We start from the raw sequence: 20412 nt of genomic DNA, 5'->3' as shown, positions 1-20412 counted from the left end.
GAGCAGCCCACGTCTTGGGCTACTCGTCTTGGGGACCCGCTACTCCGCCTTGCCAGTCCGCGGCGGGCATACCTCGGAACTGGTCCTCAGGCAGAGGGTTGTCCTCCCGGGCAGAAAGGCGACAGCGGCGTCTGCGGGGTCCTTCCTGGCGGCGGGCGCAGGCGTTTCCTCGGCGTGGGGCGGAAGCACGATCTCCGGCAGCGGCCTGGGAACTCTTAGCTGAGCAGGCGAGAGGTAAGTTGAAGCGGGTCAGCGGCACGGAAGGGTTGCTCCAGGTGGGATAGGAAATTAAAAAGCGTCAGATCTGGAAGGGGCCTTATATGCTATTGGCCCCTTTCGCTTTACGGATCGGTAAATTGAGGCCTGGAGCGGGAAAAAGAATGGAAGACCCTGTCGTCCTCGTGCCTTCCCAAGGCTTCCGAAGCGCGCACACACGCACACACCTCGATTTCGGGGCTGCCTCTATAGCCTCAGTCCGTAAAATCGTATCGCTAGGTAGGAGTGGTGCTCTAACTGTCCAGTCCCCTCGCTCACTTCCTCTTCTATCCGTGCCGCTTTCAGCCGTTCTTTGCCAAGTTCCCTCCGAAGTCCTCTGAGCTCCTGCATTGTAGCGGGAAGCGGCAGTGAGGTTTGTTACCATGAGTCGCTAGTTTTGTGTAACTGTGGGCAAATCAGCTATATTCTGTGTACCTTGTTAGAGTCATTCATTAGTTCAGTAAATACTTATTGAGGGCTTAGTCTATGCTAGGCACAGTACTAAGTGAACAAAGTCTTTGCTTCAATTGTAGTTGGGGAAATGAACAGTAAACAACTAGATACAAGTCAGCTAGTGATAAATGTATAACATTTGTGAATAGCAATAAAACAGTGAAAGTGGGAAGTTGGAGAGTATGTATGGGGGACTTTTTAGAGTGACAGAGAAGATGACATTTTAGTGGAGACTTGATTGAAATAAAGGAACAAGGTGAAAAATATCAAAGGGGAGAGCGTTTTGGACAAAGAGAAAGGCAAGTGCAGTGGCCCTGAGGCAGAAATGAGCTTGGCTTGTTCCATGAACAGCTTTCTATAACAGTTTCTTCAATCGGCCGGGCGCGGTGGCTCACGCCTGTAATCCCAGCACTTTGGGAGAAAGACGCGGGCGGATCACCTGAGGTCAGGAGTTCGAGACCAGCCTGGCCAACATGGTGAAAACCCATCTCTACTAAGAATACAAAAAAATTAGCCAGGCGTAGTGGTGCACTCCTGTAGTCCCAACTACTCGGGAGGCTGAGGCAGGAGAATCGCTTGAAACCAGGAGGCGGAGGTTGCAGTGAACTGAGATCGTGCCGTTGTACTCCAGCCTGGGCAACAAGAGCAAAACTCTGTCTCAAAAAATATATATAAAATAAATAAATAATTTCTTCAATCCCTTGACTGGGGTCTTGGGAGAATGAGATAAGCATAAATGCGATAGTAGCTTTTTAGAAGTAAAAAGAATATGCATGTGAAAGTTTCCATAATAATTTACATTTAATTATTGGTCCTTGGAGCTCCAATTCTCTCTCTACATTCAGCACCCAGCAGGTGGCATTGAGGGAGTTGGAGGTATCAGTCTAATCCAAGAAATATCAGCATCTTAAAATTAAACATCCCATTCAGTTAACATTTATCCAGTTCCTACTTATGCAAGGTGCTGTCTTGGCTATTGGCTGTGTTAGCATTGGTACTTTTTTCTCAATTATTTAAAAATGTAAAATGTGGCCGGGTGCGGTGGCTCACACCTGTAATCTCAGCACTTTGGGAGGCCGAGGTGGGCTAATCACCTGAGGTCAAGAGTTCGAGACTGCCTGGCCAACATGGTTGAAACCCCGTCTCTACTAAAAATACAAAAATTAGCCAAGTGTGATGGCGGGTGCCTGTAATCCCAGCTACTTGGGAGGTTGAGGCAGGAGAATCGCTTGAACCTGTGAGGCGGAGGTTGCAGTGAGTCGAGATCGTGCCACTGCACTCCAGCCTAGGCAACAGAGCGGGACTCCGTCTCAAAAAAATAAAAAAATAAAAATGTAAAATGCATTCTTAGCTGGAGGACCATGCAAAAACAGTTGGAGGGGCCAGATTTGGCCACAGGTCAGAGTTTGTCAACTCTTGCTCTAAAGTATTAGGAGGTGAAGAGGCATTGTGTCAGCAGCATACTGTCAAATATTTGGGGAAAAGAAAGTTATTTGTACTGTTCTTGCCACTTTTTGGTATTATTTTAAAATTAAATTTAGTATCATAAAAGAAGTGAAGAGAAGAAGCAGGTGCATGGAACACAGGGTTCTCATGATCAAGGATGGCAAAAAATAATGCTAGCTAACGTTTATTGAGCCTAGGACTCTGGTAAATTCTTTTTTTTTTTTTTTTTTTTTGAGACGGAGTCTCTCTCTGTCACCCAGGCTGGAGTGCAGTGGCGCTGTCTCCGCTCACTGCAAGCTCCGCCTCCTGGGTTCACACCATTCTCCTGCCTCAGCCTCCCCAGTAGCTGGGACTACGGGCGCCCACCACCACACTTGGCTAATTTTTTGTATTTTTAGTAGAGACAGGGTTTCACCGTGTTAGCCAGGATGGTCTCGATCTCCTGACCTCGTGATCCACCCACCTCAGCCTCCCAAAGTGCTGGGATTACAGGCGTGAGCCACTGCACCCAGCTGGACTCTGGTAAATTCTTTACACAGGGTGTTTTATTTAATCCTCATAACCATTTATTCAGTGAGGATTATTCATTCCATTTTCCAGTTGAAGAATAGGAATCAGGTTGGAAGAGATGAAGTAACTTACCTCAAGTTACATAGTTGTTGGTGACAAAGTTGGGATTTGAATCTAAGTCTTCCAACTCCAGAGCCCTGATGCTCTAGTCTGTTATTTATTGCTTATAAACTATAGTTGGTGATGGTAATTAGTAACTACTATTTGTTTATTTATTTTGTTTATTTTTTTCGAGACGGAGTCTCACTCTGTCAGCCAGGCTGAAGTGCAGTGGTGCGATCTCAGCTCACTGCAACCTCTGCCTCCTGGATTCAAGTGATTCTCCTGCCTCAGCCTGCTGAGTAGCTGGGACTACAGGTGTGTGCCACCACACCTGGCTAATTTTTTGTATTTTTAGTAGAGACGGGGTTTCACTGTGTTAGCCAGGATGGTCTCTATCTCCTGACCTCATGATCCGCCCATCTTGGCCTGCCAAAGTGCTGGGATTACAGGCATGAGCCACTGTGCCCAGCCAGTTAACTACTATTTAAGACAAAATTAAATACTGATAAAGGTGCAAAAAGCTCTAGTAGGATAGAGGAATGAGAAATTGAGGAGCTAGGAAAGCTTGAAGGAGGTGGTGGCATTTGAACTGTTTCTTTGAATAGAATTTCAGTAATTGAAGTGGAGAAAACCCACAAAACACTACTTAATTACAAAGGGAAAATGAGTAACTTTACAATGGAGAGGCCTGGCAAACATCACCTTAATGAAGTGATCAAAGTTAACGTTACCACTAATGGGGCAAATTGAAATCATGTATCACCTGATACGAAATGCATTGAGAAGAACACAGCATCACTTCTATGATATTCCTGCCCAAAACGCATAACCTGAATATTATCATAAGGTAACATCAGACAACCTCAAATCAAGGGACATCCTTAAGGATTTCATGACAGTCCTTGGAAGGAAAGACTGAAGATTGTAGATCCAAAGACTGAAGATTGTAGATCCAAAGAGACTAGAGACATGACAACCAAATGCAAACATGATCCTGGATTGGATCCTTAGGTGTGTAAGGTATTATTGGAACAATCTGTGAAACTTGAATGGGATCTGTAAAGAAGGTGGTAGTAATGTGTGAATATCAATTTTCTGATTTTGATGGTTGTATTGTGGTTATGTAGGAGAATGTTCTTGTTTGTAGGAATTACACATGGTGAGGGAGAGGTTGGCAAACTTTTTCTATTAAGGACTGGATAATATTTTAGGCTTTGTGAGCCATATGGTTTCAGTCTCAACTATTCAACTCTGCTATTACAGTGTGAAGGCAACTGTAAATGATGCAAATGAATATGCATGGCTGTTTTCCAGTGAAACTTTTTTTTTTTTTTTTTTTTTGAGATGGAGTCTTGTTCTGTCTCCCAGGCTGGAGTGCAGTGGTGCCATCTCGCCTCACTGCAACCTCCACCCCCTGGGTTCAAGGGATTCTCCTATATCAGCCTCCTGAGTAGCTGGGATTACAGGTGTGAGCCACCGTACCCAGCTAATTTTTGTATTTTTAGTAGAGACAGCGTTTTGCCATGTTGGCCAGGCTGGTCTCGAACTCCTGACCTCAGGTCATCTGCCTGCCTTGGCCTCCCAAAGTGCTGGTATTACAGGCATGCGCCACCGCGCCCGGCCTCCCAATGAAACTTTTTTAATAGACACTGACATTTGAATTCCTTATAATTAATTTTCATGTATCATGAAATATTTTTCTTTTGACTTTTTCCCTGGCAATTTACAAATGTGAAAAAGCATTCTTAGCTTGAGGGCCATGTAAAAACAGCTGGAGGGGCCAGATTTGGCCACAGGCCAGAGTTTGCCCACCCTTACACTAAAGTATTAGGAGGTGATGAGCCATTGTGTCAACAGCTCACTTTCAAATAATTTAGGAAAAAGTAAGTTATTTGTACTGTTCTTGCCATTTTTTGATACTGAGTTGTTTTAAAATTAAATTTAGTATTAAAAAAGTGGAGGGAGGGGGACCTCCTCTTTTGGCTTTGGAGCGCCCCCCACGCCCCATCTCTGTACGGCGGAGCTTCTTCCTTCTGTCTTCTTTCTTCCTTCTTGCCTATTCAACTCTCTGCTCCTTAAAACCCAAAACAAGAAAAGTGGAGGGAAGACTACATAAATAGAGACAAGTAAGGCAGAGACTTGGGGAAAGTACTGGGCTTTGGGAGGAGCATTCAGTAGGTTGATGTCACTGGAGAGGAGGCATGTGAAAGGGGTATGGCCAACCATAAGACTAAGACTAGACAGGTGGAGCCACCACATGAAGGCCTTGATTACCTTGTCAGAATCTAACTCTTCTCTCCTTGAATTTTAGCATCATGGATACCGACTTATATGATGAGTTTGGGAATTATATTGGACCAGAGCTTGATTCTGATGAAGATGATGATGAATTGGGTAGAGAGACCAAAGATCTTGATGAGGTAAAACAAATATATTGCTCTTTTATCTCACTCTTATTTATTTTATTTAAGACAAGATCTCACTCTCTTGCCAGGTTGGAGTGCAGTGGCGCAATCTCAGCTCACTGCAACCTCCACCTCCTGGGCTTAAGTGATCCTCCCACCTTGGCCTCCCAAGTAGCTGGGACTACAGGTATGCACCACCATGCCCAGCTAATTTTTTTTTATTTTTCGTGGAGATGAAACATTGCCCAGGCTGGTCTTGAACTCCTGAGCTCGAGCAGTCCACCTGCCTTGGCCTCCCAAACTGCTAGGATTACAGGCATGAGCCACCATGCCCAGCCCCCTCTTTTTTCTTTTTTTTTTTTTTGAGACAGTCTCACCCTGTTGCCCAGGCAGGAGCGCAGTGGCACCATCTTGGCTCACTGCAGCCTCTGCCTCCCAGGTCCAAGCAATTCTCAATGCCTCAGCCTCCTGAGTAGCTGGGATTACAGGTGTGTGCCACCATGCCCGGCTAATGTTTTTTGTATTTTTAGTAGAGACAGGGTTTCACTATGTTGTCCAGGCTGGTCTTGAAGTCCTGACTTCAAGCAATCCACCTGCCTTGGCCTCCCAAAGAGCTGGGATTATAGGCATGAGCCACCATGCCTGCCCCCCCACCCCCCCCCCCACCTTTTTTTAAAAAACAATGAAATTTTGAATCCTCTGTGTTCCAGTGATACCCTGGGTACGTCTCTTGAGATTGTCCTTTTTATAACATGACTTAGTGGGATCTCATACTGCTCCAGCAAAGCTTCGCTACTAAGGTTCCAAAAGGGAATATGTAGTTTCATTGATGAGATGGTTTTGTAATCTGAGCTCTAGTTGATCATTAGTTCTTCCATTTCCCTGAAGTGTCTTTTAACAGTCATGAATAATTCCCACTTGGAAAAGATACTCAACTCTTCCAGCTACAGCTGCACTGGGAGCTCCCTCACAAGCTCAGATTTTCAGAGATGCATAAAAGCAATAGAAAGGGCCCGGGCGTGGTGGCTCATGCCTGTAATCCCAGCACCTTGGGAGGCCAAGGTGGTCAGATCACACGGTCAGGAGTTCAAGACTAACCTGACCAATACGGTGAAACCCCGTCTCTACTAAAAATACAAATATTAGCCAGGCTTGTTGGCGCGTGCCTGTAGTCCCAGCTGCTTGGAAGGCCGAGGCAGGAAAATCACTTGAACACGGGAGGCGGAGGTTGCAGTGAGCCAAGATTGTGCCACTGTACTCCAGCCTGGGCAACAAGAGTGAGACTCGGTCTCAAACAAAAAAAAAAAAAAATGACTGTTGAGTACTTAGGAAGCTAGCATGAGTTTTATAAAAATAATTTTCTCTTGATAGGATTACTAGGTTGAGCCACAGGTCAGGGGCATGCTGTGGACATGATGTATCTTGATTTGGGCAAGACATTTGAAGTTTTTTATTGATGTCTTATAAACCAGCATTTTTTTTTCTTTTTGAAAATAAGGTTTACAGTCAGGTGTGGTGGCTTACGCCTGTAATTCCAGCATTTTGGGAGGCTGAGGCGCTTGAGCCCAGGAGTTTGAGACCAGCCTGGCCAACATGGTGAAACCCCGTCTCTACTAAAATACAAAAATTAGCTGGGTGTGGTGGTACATGCCTGTAATCCCAGCTACTCAGGAGGCTGAGGCAGGAGAATTGCTTGAACCCGGGAGGTAGACGTTGCAGTGAGCTGAGATCGAGCCACTGCTCTCCAGCCTGGGTGACACAGCGAGACTCCATCTCAAAAAAAAAAAAAAAAAAAAAAAAGGTTTTACAGTGTGTTTTTCTTTAATTATATAGGTAATTCATGAATACATTCTCATTCAAACCATGTTGATAGAAAGGTTTCCTTTGTTCTCATTCCATTCACTCTTCTTCCCCAGTTAACCTCTGTAACTCATGATGTCCTAGTGAAAAGAACATGGGCTGCATCATAATACAATTAGAGGAGGTCACAGCTGGTTGAACAGTGGGACACAAAGATTTTTGATTAATGGGTCACCAGCAGAGCTCTTGTGACATGTCCTAGGCATCTGTGTTTGGTCTTGTCCTTTTCAACTTAAAATATATTTAAATAGAGACAAGGTTTCACTATGTTGCTCAGGCTGGTGTTGAACTCCTGGGCTCAAGCAATCTGCCTGCCTTGGCCTCCCAAAATGCTGAGATTACATAGGGGAACCATTGTGCCCCGTCATTCAGCCTATTAGTGACTTGGGTAAAGATAGAGAACAGAGGTTTATCTAATTTGCACATGACATAAAACTAATGTATTGGATAACAGAATCTAAATTCAAAGTGATCCCAACATACATGAATTTGGGACTAAAAACCCAGTAATAGGCCAGGCGTGGTGGCTCACACATGTAATCCCAGCACTTTGGGAGGCTGAAGCGGGCAGATCACTTGAGGTCAGGAGTTCGAGACCAGCCTGGCCAACGTGGTGTGAAACCGTCTCTACTAAAAATACAAAAAATTAGTTGGGTGTGCTGGTGCGCGCCTGTAATCCCAGCTACTCGGGAGGCTGAGGCAGGATTTTTTTGTTGGGAGTGAGGGCAGGTGGAATTGGTAAGTAACAGAGTTTCTTTTTAGGGTGATGAAAATGATCTAAAATTGATCGTGGTGATGGTTGCACAATTCTGTGAATATACTAAAAACTATTATGCACTTAAAATGGATAGATTGTATGGAATGTGAATTATATCTCTATAAAGCTATTAACAAAAAAATTTTTAAAATAAAGAATAATGGGCTAAACACTTAGTGGCTCACACCTATAACCCCAGCACTTTGGAAGGTCAAGGCAGGAGGATCACTTGAACCGAGGAGTTTGAGACCAGCTTGGGCAATGTAGTGAGACCCCATTTCTACAAAAAATTTAAAAATTAGCCAAGCATGGTGGTACATGCCAGTAGTCACAGCTACTCAGGAGACTGAGGCAGGAGGATGGCTTGAGCCCAGGAATTTGAGGTAGTGGTGAGCTATGGTCATGCCACTGCACTCTAGCGTGGGCAACAGAGTGAGACCCTATGAAGGTTTTTACCTCAGTACAAACAGTTGAGTCACTCATACTCTTTAGTTCTTACTCCTCAGTGTCATTGCTGTGAGAGCTCTGCTGTTATTTAATTAATTTGTTAATTCCCATTTATCTCATTCCCATACCTGCCACCACAGTTCTTTGTAATTTATGTATGTTTCTTTTTCTATGAGTTGCATAGTGTGTGTGTATTTTAAGTAAATGGTATCATTGTCTGCATTGTTCTGTTTCTTTTCCCACTCAGCATCATGATGAGTGGTGCATTTTAGGGTTTCTCCCTGTTGCTGTGTGTACATCTAGTCTGTGGGAACTGACTGCTACTCGGTTTGCCCTGGTGACATTCCTCTCTTAGTGATAGACACCAAGGTTACCTGTCACCAGCCTTCCCTCGCCGTAATTAATAATCCAGTGTACATTCTCATATGTGTCCCTTTATGCAATGTGGAAAAATTTCTTTGGGTTATATTCCCAAGAGCAGAGTTGCTGGTTGTAGGATATTATATCTCTATCTACATATGCTTATTGTATTTATACTTAGTTAATATGTTTATACTAAGTACTGTCAGATTGCCCTTTAAAATGGCTGTACTGGTCTACCCTCTTTCCAGCAGAATGAGGGTTATAGCCTCCTAGTCCACAAGATGCATAGATTTATTATTATTGTTATTTTTTGAGATGGAGTTTCGCTCTTGTTGCCCAGGCTGGAGTGCAATGGCATGATCTCGGCTCACTGTAACCTCCACCTCCCGGGTTCAAGCGATTCTCCTGCCTCAGCCTCCCGAGTAGCTGGGATTACAGGCATGTGCGTCCACGCCCGGCTAGTTTTGTATTTTTAGTAGAGATGGGGTTTCTCCGTGTTGGTCAGACTGGTCTCGAACTCCCAACCTTAGGTGATCTGCCCGCCTCAGCCTCTCAAAGTGCTGGGATTACAGGTGTGAGCCACCGCACCTGGACAGATTTTTTTTTTTAATTATATTGAGGTATATAACAGTAGAGATGCATAGATTTTGGTAATGGGGACAGGAAAGAAAGATGTCCCTTCTAAGGCTGGGTGCGTTGGCTCATGCCTGTAATCCCAGCACTTTGGGAGGCTGAGGTGGGCAGATGACCTGAGGTCAAGAGTTCGAGACCAGTCTGGCCAACGTGATGAAACCCTGTCTCTATTAAAAATACAAAAATACAAAAATACAAAAATTAGCTGGGCGTGGTGGCATGCGCCTGGGTGGCATGCCCAGAGGCTAAGGCAGGAGAATCTCTTGAACCCAGGAGGCAGAGGTTGCAGTGAGCTGAGATCGCGCCACTGCACTCCAGCCCCGGCAAACAAGAGTGAAACTCCATCTCAAAAAAATAAAAAAATTAAAAATTAGAAAAAGCAATGATAAAAGAATATTTGTTTAGTTTTATTTGTTTAGACTTGTTGAGCTACTGTAGACTCGGATAGAGATAATTACAGGCAGTCAGAAATTATTATATAAAATCCTGCAGTTAGATTCATAATATATTCAGCAGTATGGGGCAGGAGAAAACTGGCTTGATAGCTATTTGGAGCCACCACCAGTAGGATATATGTGGCTGCCAAAAGAGCTAATGTAATCTTAGGCCACTTTAGTAGAAGTAGAGTGTAAGATGGTAGGAGGTAGCCGGTCTCACCACTGGAGGGTTTTGTGTTCTTAAGGAAGAGGTTGGCATGCTGGAATTTGTGTGAAGGAAAACAAGCACCCAGCAGTCCCTCTACCCACCTGCCTACATCTGTACTCATATACGATGCCTTCCCTTCCGTTCTTACGAATGATTTGTTCATGTTTCTGTCTACTAGAAACTAATCCCATCCCTTCTCACCACTCAAGACCTTTGGCAATTCTGCCCTCTCTCTCCTGTGCCATCAGTTTTCCCTGTCTACAGGATCATCCCCATCAGCATACACAGATAAAATGTCATTTCATCCTAAAACTCTCTCTTGACCCCATATCCCCCTTCATTTACCTCCAGATTTTCCCTGCTTTCCAATGCAGCACATCCCGAATTAGGTGGTCATGGTTGCTGTCTCCAGATCCTCTCCTCCCATTTTCCTTCAAACCCACTTCCATCCTTTTGCCTCTCGCATTCCACAGACTGCTCTTGTCAAGGTCACCACTGACCTCTGCCTTGCGAAATCCCAAGGTCAGTTCCCAGTCCTCAGCCCACATGACCTGCCTGCATCCGTCTGTCCCAGCCGATCATTCCCTCCTCTTTAAAATACTCTCTTCCTTTGGCTTTCAGAGAACCCCTGGTTTTCCTCCGCACTGACCATCCCTTCTCAGCCTTTGCTGCTGCTTCCTCATTATCTCCCTGACCTCCAAATGTCAGCAGGCCCGGGGCTCCATTCCTCAGACGTCTTCTCTGTCTACACTCACTCCTCTGGGGATCTCATCCAGTCTATCAAATAACTTTATGACGACTCAGATTTGTATCTCCAATCTGGACTTTTCCCTTGAATGGCATGTTTGTATGTCCACCTTCCTACATGGCATCTCTACTTAATGTCTAACAGGGAATCTCAAGCCTGGCGTTAACTCACACCTAAGTACTGAGCTTTCCCCGCCCTGCTCCCCCAACCTGCTCTTACAGTCTTTCTTCCTCATCTCAATAAAGGCAAGGCTGTTTTCCGGTGCTCAGATCAAAAACCTTACTGCTTCTCTTTTTTCTCACACCTCCTTTCAATTCATTAGAAAACAGTTTTGACTCTACCTTTGTAATGTATCCAGAATTCAGCCTCTTCTCACCACCTTCCCAGTTCCCACTCTGTCTACTCCAAGCCACCACCACTGTTATTTCTTTCCTGAATCACTGCAGTAGCCCCCTAACTAATCTTCTTGCTTCTAGTGTATTCTCAGCATAGGGGCTGGAGTGGTTCTTTTAAAACAGAAGTCTGATCATATCACTTCTCTGCTCCAAACCCCTGGTGCAGAGTTTCTTCATCTCAGCACTGTTGACATTGGGGCCAGATAATTCTTTCTGTGAGGACTCTGTGTGTTGTAGGATGTTTAGCAGCATCCATGGCCTCTACCCACTGGATGCTAATGGCACCTCCCCGCCTACTTTTGCTCTAGAGTAAAAGTAAAGTCCAAATTCTTAGAGCGGTCCAGAAGATCCTGTCTGTTTGCCTCCCATGTGATCGCAGCTTCCTGTTCCCCCATCCTTCGCTCCATTCTCACCATATTGGCTTCCTTGCTAAACCTCAAAGTTGCCACATGCTCTTGGCTCTGGGCCTTTGCATTCGCTGTTTCACCAGCCGACTAGAATGCTCTTCCCCAGGTACCTGTAGAGCTTATTCTCTGTCTGCAGATTTTTTGCTTCAGTAGCACCTCTTTTTCCTTGATTGCTTTATTACTAACACCTGGAACAGTGCTTAGCACATATTAAGTGCTCAGTAAGTGTTTTAGGACTTAAAGGGTGATCTGGTGGCCACCTTAGATTATTTGGAAGACTTTTTAGCAGAAGTGAGAATGGCTTCGTTAATGTTGCATATGACTATGGGTTAATTTGTAAGGAGGCAGATTTGAAGTTATTTAATTGTAAAGTGTACAATTTAATGGCTTTTAGAGTATTCACAGAGTCATGCAACTGTCATCACAATCAATTTTAGAACATTTCCATTATCTCAGAAAAAAACTCCACACCCCTTACCCATTGTCCTCCCACCCACACCTACCCTGCCAGCCCTGGGCAATCTGCTTTCTGTCTATATAGATTCGCCTATTCTGAATATTTTCATATAAATGGAATCATATAATATGCAGCTTTTTCAGTCTGGCCTCTTTACTCAGCATCATGTTTTCAAGGCTTATCTACGCTGTAGCATGTATATACCTATAGCAAGTATAGGTATTTTGTTTGTTTTTGTTGCCAAATAATCTTTTGTATGGATGTACCACATTTCATTTATCCAGTCATCAGTTGATCGACATTTGGTTGTTCCCACTTTTTGGCTATTATAAATAATGCCACTATGAACATTGATTTCTAAGTTTTTGTGTGGCCATAAGTTTTCATTTGTCTTGGGTATATACTTAGGAGTGGACTTGCTGGGTCATATGTAACTCTGTGTTGAACATTTTGAGGAACTACCAAAATATTTTCCAAAGCAGCTGCACCTTTTTCCCATCAGCAGTGTGGGAGGTTTCAGTTTCTCCACATCCTTGCCAGCACCTGTTATTATCTATCACAAAGTTATTTTCCAAAAACAATTCTGTGGATATAAGTGAAAATTTTAAAGGTATGGGCTTATCTTCAGTTTTTACCTCTGGCTTTTGGTTTCTGCCTTTGGAGAAAGTTGCTTTTTTCCCCGTAAAGGGCTGTGCTGTGATTTGTTTTCTCCAGTCTCAACCCACTTGTGACCAGTGGCCCACATTCAGAAAGGGGCAAGTTTGAACCAGGAGCACTGTCCATGGCCTCGGCTTAGAGTCTTCTCTTTGTGAAGGGTCTCAAAGGAGTGGAACCTCCCCCACTGGCATAGAACTCAGAATAAGAAGCTGGCCAGCATGTACAGTCAGTGCTGTCACTCACGGAGGTAGTCAGATATCAAACAGGAAAAGCGTGTGCCTCTTCGATTCTCCCTCTCCCTCTTGCTTTCAGATGGATGATGATGACGACGACGATGACGTAGGAGATCATGACGATGACCACCCTGGGATGGAGGTGGTGCTGCATGAGGACAAGAAGTACTACCCAACAGCCGAGGAGGTGTATGGTCCTGAGGTGGAGACCATAGTTCAAGAGGAAGACACTCAGCCTCTCACAGGTACATCAGGAGGACATGGGCTGTGCGGAGTGAAATTGAAACCTGGAAACTTCATAGCTCTCAGCAAACCTTAAAAGTTCAGTGAATGAATTGATCAGTTTTTCTTTACTACCTTCAGGTACTGTTTCTGGTTTAAGATTTAGTTAATCCTTTTTTAATATTCAGTAAAGTTCTTAACTAGTTTCTAAGCAAATAAGAGTTATTTCTTATTTATCTGCTATCAGTTTAGGTGCATGAAGACTGTCGTTAAGTTTATTTACCCTGTGGCCTGATATGTTTTTCCATCCAAATAACTCCAACCCTTTTAACCAGTTCTCATAATATGTATTGTCCATTTCTTTTTCTTTTTTTGAGACGAAGTCTTGCTCTGTCGCCCATGCTGGATTACGGTGGCACAATCTTGGCTCACTGCAACCTCCGCCTCCCTGATTCAAGCAATTCTGCTTCAGCCTCCCTAGTAGCTGGGATTATAGGTGTCTGCCACCATGCCTGGCTAATTTTTGTATTTTTAGTAGAAACGGGGTTTCACCATGTTGGCCTGGCTGGTCTTGAACTCCTGACCTCAAGTGATCTCTCTGCCCTGTCCTCCCAAAGAGCTGGGATTACAGGCGTGAGCCACTGCAACCAGCCTTATTGTCCATTTAATAGTTTTCATAGGCTGGAAGCGGTGGCTCATGCCTGTAATCCCAGTACTTTGGGAGGCCAGAGCAGGAGGATCGCTTGAACCCAGCAGTTCGAGACCAACCTGGGCAACATGGTGAAACCCCATCTCTACAAAAAAAGTACAAAAATTAGCTGGGCATGGTGGTAGATGCCTCCTGGCAACTCGGGAGACTGAGGCAGGAGGATCACTTGATCACGCCATTTGTACGCTTCAGCCTGGGTAACAGTGAAACCCTGTCTCCCAAAAAAAAAAGTTTTCATTGATCTTTTGGAAAGTGATTGCATCTTATAAATGCAAGGAAAGATCCTGAACTGACATTGACCTCAACCTACATCCATTCCCCCTCCCTCCCTCCCACTGTCCCTCAAAATGAAGCCCAGACTCCTCTTTCCACAATTCAAGGTCCTTCACTGTCTCATGCCAAACAGCATTTCCAAAACTTTCTCAACATATGAGTGATCCTTGAGAGTAAAATAAATTGATGTCATACATCATACATTCTGAAAGGTCAGTCTAATGGAATAGTGTTCCGTATTTTTATGTTTTATGCCCACCTACACATCACTACCTTTTTTTTTTCTTCTAGAACCCATTATTAAGCCAGTGAAAACCAAGAAATTCACTCTGATGGAGCAGACATTACCTGTTACGGTGTATGAGATGGAGTAAGTTACAAGGTTTCTCAGCTTCTCTGCAGGAATGCTGTGGGTTCATGTTTTTGTAGAGATAAGAGGTGGCTTTTGGCTGAAATAGCTAGTAAATTGTGGCCGTACATAGCTCTCAAATTCTCCTTCAGCTTGTGTGGCTGCTGGGATATTTGGGGTCAATCTTAACTTTTCTCTTGGTGTTCATCCAAATGTTAGCTGTTTCCTCTTCCAGATCTTTAGTTTGATGTTGAAAGCCAGCCTTCAAGAGAGATCTGGGTATTGCAGTTATCACTGTTGGATCCACCAGAGCCTGTTTGGACTCAATAAGACTGCTGAGTATTTTAGGAATATATTAGCTCTTTATTTTGTTTTTGTTGTTGTTATTTTGAGACAAGGTCTCGTTTTGTTGCTCAGGCTGTAGTGCAGTGGCACAATCATGGCTCATTGCAGCCTTGACCTCCCAGGCTCAATAGATGTGTCTGCCTCAGCCTCCTGAGCAGCTGGAACTACAGGAACACACCACCACGCCTGGCTAATTTTTGTGTTTTTTGTACTGTTTCACTATGTTGCCCAAGCTGGTCTCAAACTCCTGGGCTCAAATGATTCTCCTGCCTTAGTTTCCCAAAGTGCTGAGATTACAGGCGTGAGCTACCATGCCCGGCCCTCAACTCTTTATTTTGAAAAGGAGAGCAAAAGGAGGTAGATATATGTGTAGGATCATTTAGGTGCTCTCTCTCTCTCTTTTTTTTTTTTTCGATGCGGGGTCTCACTCTGTTGCCCAGGCTGGAGTGCAGTGGCATGATCTCAGCTCTCTACAACCTCCACCTTCCAGGTTCAAGTGATTCTCCCGCCTCAGCCTCCTGAGTAGCTGGGATTACAGGCGCATGTCACCACGTTCAGCTAATTTTTATATTGTTAGTAGAGATGGGGTTTCACCATGTTGGAAGTCCTGGCTGGGTGTGGTGGCTCACGCTTGTAATGCCAGCACTTTGGGAGGCCAGGGCAGGTGGATCACCTGAGGTCAGGAGTTCGAGACCTGCCTGACCAACATGGTGAAACCCCGTCTCTGCTGAAAATGCAAAAATTAGCTGGTCGTGGTGGCCTCGGCCTCCCAAAGTGTTGGGATTACAGGCGTGAGCCTCTGCTCCCGGCCTAATTTTTGTATTTTTAGTAGAGACAGGGTTTTACCATGTTGGCCAGGCTGGTCTTGAACTCCTGACCTCAGGTAATCCACCCACCTCGGCCTCCCAAAGTGCTGGGATCACAGGCATGAGCCACCATGCCCAGCCTCTTCTTCCTTTTTTAGTCTTGCTGTTTTACTATTGAAATCCCCGTGATAGTCCATTCACAGATTGTGTTACCTCTTGGATAAGTTTCTTGCATTCCCAAAGCCAGAGCTATGTAAGTATAGACATTCACATCTGCCTGAGCACTCTCCAGTTGGTCTGAAAGTTGTTCCTGGCCAAAAAATACCTGAAACACCTTTACACCACTCCTCATTTGGAAACGTTTGCCAATCTCTCTTTTCTCTTTTCCTTTGTCCTTTCAGTTTCTTGGCGGATCTGATGGATAACTCAGAGCTCATCAGAAATGTGACCCTTTGTGGACATCTCCACCATGGCAAGGTAAGACGGAACTTTCAGCTACTTGGAACAGGATTTCTCTTTTGTACCTGCTCATGTTTTAGCCCTTAGAGTCACAGCGGTTGAGGTTTGAGGTCACAAGGCTCAACCTCCTGACTAGGGGTGCTGCATGCCTGTTACGAAGTCATACTGTGAAATTCTGGCTTTTCCCAAGCAGCAGGTGGAGCCTGTTCCTAAGCCACTTGCATGCCTGAGCCTTATGTCTACATCTGGACAGAAGATGGGAAATTGAGCCTTACTCTGATTTTTATAAGTTTTCATTTCCTGAGGGATGCCTGTCTAAGAAAGATTTCATCTTTTATTTGAAAATAATCCTGTGGCTTCAGTGTTAATTATTTGCTGTCCCATAACCCTCCTTGCTCTCCTTTTTCTCTCCTTATCCCTAAATTATGTGGTGTATTGGGAGCTGGGGGAAGGGCACAGTAAATTTTCCTCTGTGGTCGGCAGATGTTAACTGTTTCTTCCCTTTTAGACATGTTTTGTGGATTGTTTAATTGAACAGACTCACCCGGAAATCAGAAAGCGCTATGACCAAGATGTAAGTAGAACTTCTGTTGAGGGTTTAGGATGAACCATTCAGAACAGATAGAGATGTCTCTCTCCTCCTTCCTTCACCCTTCCTGTTCTCTATAAATAATGACGCCTCCAAAGTGCAGCTTTATAATTGTGATCTCTATTAATAGGCTGTAAGAAAATAATTTCAACTTTCTCGGGAGCATAGAGAATATTGAGCTGCAGTATTTTTGGATGATCCATTTTGCACTTGGGATCCCTCCTCTGTTATGATATATCCTGACTTTTATAGTCTATTCTTTCCTGTTATAGTATTAATAGCCTGCTCTATAAATATGGTACAATTGTACCTGGTTTTCATGGTAAATTTAAATGCCTGTGAATGAGGCCAACTGTGTCTGCAAGTCTCAGTGCAATAAATGTTCAAACCCTGCCAGATTGATTGTTTTAACACTTTAGCATTAAGGCTGACATGTGTCTCCCTTTACCACACTAAGAATTCTGTGCATTTGATATAAATTATCTCTCAGCTATACCTGGTCTTTAGTGACCTCCCCCAACTCAAAAAGAGTGGTGGCTCATGCCTATAATCCCAGTACTTTGGGAGGCCAGGACAGGAGCATCACTTGAGGTCAGGAGTTTGAGACCAGCCTGGCCAACATGGCGAAACTCTATCTCTACTAAAAATGCAAAATGTAGCTGGGTGGGCACGGTGGTGCACACCTGTAGTCCCAGCTACTCAAGGGGCTGAGGCAGGAGAATCGCTTGAACCTGGGTGGTAGAGGTTGCAGTGAGCCAAGATTATGCCACCACACTCTAGTCTGGGCGACTGAGTGAGACTCCATCTCAAAAAAAGACAAAATCACAACCAAAAAGAAAAACCCAGCCATGTGTGGTGGCTCACGCCTGTAATCCCAGCACTTTGGGAGGCTGAGCCGGGGGGATCACATGAGGTCAGGAGTTCGAGACCAGCCTGACCAACATGATGAAACCCTGTGTCTACCGAAAATACAAAATTAGCTGAGCATGGTGGCGCACGTCTGCAATCCCTGCTACTTGGGAGGCTGAGGCAGGAGAATCTCTTAAACCCTGGAGGCAAAGGAGGTTGCAGTAAGCTGAGATCGCGCCATTGCACTCCAGCCTGGGCTACAAGAGCAAAACTCTGTCTCCAAAAAAGTAAAAATAAAAAAATCCCTCCACACACCCAGGAGCATTTCCAGCTGGGAGGGCACTGGTCTCATTGTCTGTAATTGCTGTGGGGACACCCTGCTCTCTCTCTCTCTTTAATCTCAAAGAAACCCTTGAGCTGGGAGGTAGTGAGGGAAAGTGATTGATGGTTCGTTTGTGGGAGAGCAGTCTCAACTCAGGTGGTAACAACAGTTAATTTTTTTTCAGCTGTGCTATACTGACATCCTCTTCACAGAGCAAGAGGTAAGCATGCCTTGGGGAATCTGATTGTCACCTACACCAGACCCACCAGTAATAGTTTTGTAGGGAATGTAGAGGAGCCTTTATGATAGCATTTTAGTTCATATCCTACTCCTCTCTCTCCACTTCTCACATCCCATCTCCTTCTTCCCCCAGTTACTCCAGGGTTATAACTTGAAAAAGAACTGGGTAGGCAAGCTGTAGGTTAGGAGGGGAACCCTCCTGTTCTTGACTAGATTAAATTTGGCCTAATATAGGAGAAGTACTAAGAGGCGATGTCTGCATTTGTGCTATAAGTTACGCAGAAGCTCAACATGATTTTTTTAAAATGACATCATCCTTTAAAAATCCGCAGGATGAGTCCATCCATATGATGACCTCTTTCTAGGAGTAGCTTCTCTTTGAAAATGGGTTCCTATATCTTTGTGTTTCTCTTTTTGTCTTTCCTTCCGGATCTTTCTCTCTAATCTCTGACCCCTTCTGTTTCCCTCCTCTTATTTCTGTCTCTTTTTCCTAATGGAAGTTTTAAGTATAATAAGTATGGTTAACTAAAGGCACTTGGAATTAGTAAAGATAGATAGGCAATCAATGTTAGCTGTTATTATTTTATAATGTATTTATGTATTTGTTTGGAGTTTTAAAAAAAATGTTTATTTCTGTCATAGCTTTTATATTTCTTTTTTAAAAAAAAACTAAAATACCCCAGATTGTTTCTTTTTACTTTCAAGGTGCTCAGCTATTGTTTTTGTTTCTAATGTATAAAGAGGATGAGATTCTAGGACCCTGGATTCTCTGATAAGGCTTAATACTGTTTTGTTTGCAGTAATTCATTTTCATCTTTTCACATTTGAAACAAGTCCCCCAAAAATGGTGTCTAACACCAAGATATTTTATCTTCAAGGTCATGCTGGCTAGAGGCCTAGATAAAAATCACCCACTATAAGGAGAGGCATCAGTGTAATTTACTAGCAACTGGGGAGCCCCAAAAACAAAATGAACCCCTCTTGCATAGGAAGAGGTCTTGACCACTCTTTGTTCCTTTCAGAGAGGTGTAGGCATCAAAAGCACTCCTGTGACAGTGGTCTTGCCAGACACCAAAGGAAAATCTTATCTCTTCAATATCATGGACACTCCAGGTAGGACATCCTTTGGCTTTTGATTATTAGAACCTTGTCTTGGTTTTGCGTGTGTCCTCTCACTTTTCGGAGCAGAACGGAGCAGTGCATCTTTGTTTTTACATTCCCTCACCTTCATTGAAACCATTTTCCATTTTGACTCTCTCCTTTGTTTCTGACTTGTTAATTTAGCAAGCATCATACTCCAGGCCTTCTATTCATGTCTTTACTCTTTCGAATATTTAAAAATGTTAGGGAATTGTATTCATTTATTCATTTCAGCCTGTCAGGCCCCATGCTATCTGCTGGGGAGCTAAAGGTGAGTCAGAGCCAGTCCCTGGCCTTGAGTACTCTCAGTCTTTTGAAGGAGACTGGTGAACATCCTGATGACCTTGGGAGCAGCGCACCTTGGCTGACTCTTCCTCCTATGGAAAGGACCAACTGGGGCAGAGTTTTTAAAAACTGGAAGGTTTTAGGTTTTGGCTGATTTGCTTTCTTGGCACCATCTGATGCCCAGTGTCCTGATACCTCTCAGCCCCTGCCCCCATAGCACCTTGCCAGGAACTGCCTTCCTCGAGCAGCACACTGTGCTCCAGGCCCTGCTTTGCCCTTTCTCCTGCCTCCAGATTGTCTTGAATCCCACAGAACTCTACTTACTGCTGATTAGGCTAAGCTGGTCTGTGTGTGTGGACTCATGCTCTCCTGGGCATGAGTCCCAGGAGTCCCTCTTTTTATGTAGGGAGCCTCCCGTAGGAAAGCTTAATGCAAGGATATGACACTAATGGGGGATATTTTTACCCTGTGGGGGGTTATGGCGAGGAGGAAAGGGGATATTCGGAGGTTCACGGGCTTTGAAGTGCCCCCTCAGTTCACCCTACCAGTTAATTGTGCTTTATCCTGCACCAAGTGATGACTTACTTAGTATTTGCTTTTCAGGACATGTGAATTTCTCTGATGAGGTCACAGCTGGCTTGCGCATCTCAGATGGAGTGGTCCTTTTCATTGATGCTGCTGAGGGGGTGAGTCAGACTCAGCTCCCAGAATCTCATCCACCTGTTATGTTTGCCCCCACCCCGCAACAATACCCAGAGCACTGAGTGAGCTGGGAGCCAGAGAACTTGAAACTCTCTGGGATTAAGGCTCAAATTTGCTCTAAAATTAAAGCAGCAAATGTTTCAAAATTAATTCTTACCGGGTGTGGTTGCTCACACCTGTAATCCCAGCACTTTGGGAGGCTGAGGTGGGTGGATCACCTGAGGTCAGGAGTTCGAGACCAGCCTGGCCAACGTGGCGAAACCCCGTCTCTACCAAAAATACAAAAATTAGCCAGGTGTGGTGACCCATGCCTGTAATCCCAGCTACTCATTAGGCTGAAACAGGAGAA

General features: G+C 44.4%; 1 protein-coding gene and 1 pseudogene across 5 annotated transcripts in view, besides 1 other annotated feature; one reads left to right on the top strand and one right to left on the bottom strand.

Moving 5' to 3' along the window:
- EFTUD2 (elongation factor Tu GTP binding domain containing 2) overlaps nucleotides 158-20412 on the top strand; it is a 49498-nt gene continuing 29243 nt past the window's right edge. For 2 of the 5 annotated variants that reach the window (NM_004247.4, XM_047437084.1), the window contains exons 1-9: nucleotides 158-234; nucleotides 5078-5186; nucleotides 12853-13018; nucleotides 14269-14347; nucleotides 15879-15954; nucleotides 16445-16510; nucleotides 17881-17916; nucleotides 18959-19049; nucleotides 19965-20047. In NM_004247.4, coding sequence (NP_004238.3) covers nucleotides 5082-5186; nucleotides 12853-13018; nucleotides 14269-14347; nucleotides 15879-15954; nucleotides 16445-16510; nucleotides 17881-17916; nucleotides 18959-19049; nucleotides 19965-20047 — 702 coding nt within the window. In that variant the 5' untranslated portion in view covers nucleotides 158-234; nucleotides 5078-5081. Of the gene's footprint in view, nucleotides 629-5077; nucleotides 5187-12852; nucleotides 13019-14268; nucleotides 14348-15878; nucleotides 15955-16444; nucleotides 16511-17880; nucleotides 17917-18958; nucleotides 19050-19964; nucleotides 20048-20412 lie in introns of all 5 variants that reach the window. The other 3 variants (NM_001258354.2, NM_001258353.2, NM_001142605.2) reach the window with 3 other exon arrangements.
- Nucleotides 6890-7432: an enhancer, noted in NCBI's record as "OCT4-NANOG hESC enhancer chr17:42969539-42970081 (GRCh37/hg19 assembly coordinates)". NCBI's record gives its function as "activates a minimal SCP1, AML or CMV promoter by ChIP-STARR-seq in naive H9 embryonic stem cells {active_cell/tissue: H9 hESC(naive)}" and the evidence as "EXISTENCE:reporter gene assay evidence [ECO:0000049][PMID:30033119]".
- Nucleotides 15329-15617, bottom strand: RN7SL405P (RNA, 7SL, cytoplasmic 405, pseudogene; annotated as a pseudogene).

The sequence above is a fragment of the Homo sapiens genome, chromosome 17, assembly GCF_000001405.40.
Source record: "Homo sapiens chromosome 17, GRCh38.p14 Primary Assembly".
In the NCBI taxonomy this organism is placed as follows: Eukaryota; Metazoa; Chordata; class Mammalia; order Primates; family Hominidae; genus Homo; species Homo sapiens.
This window is presented reverse-complemented; position numbering and strand designations above follow the sequence as displayed.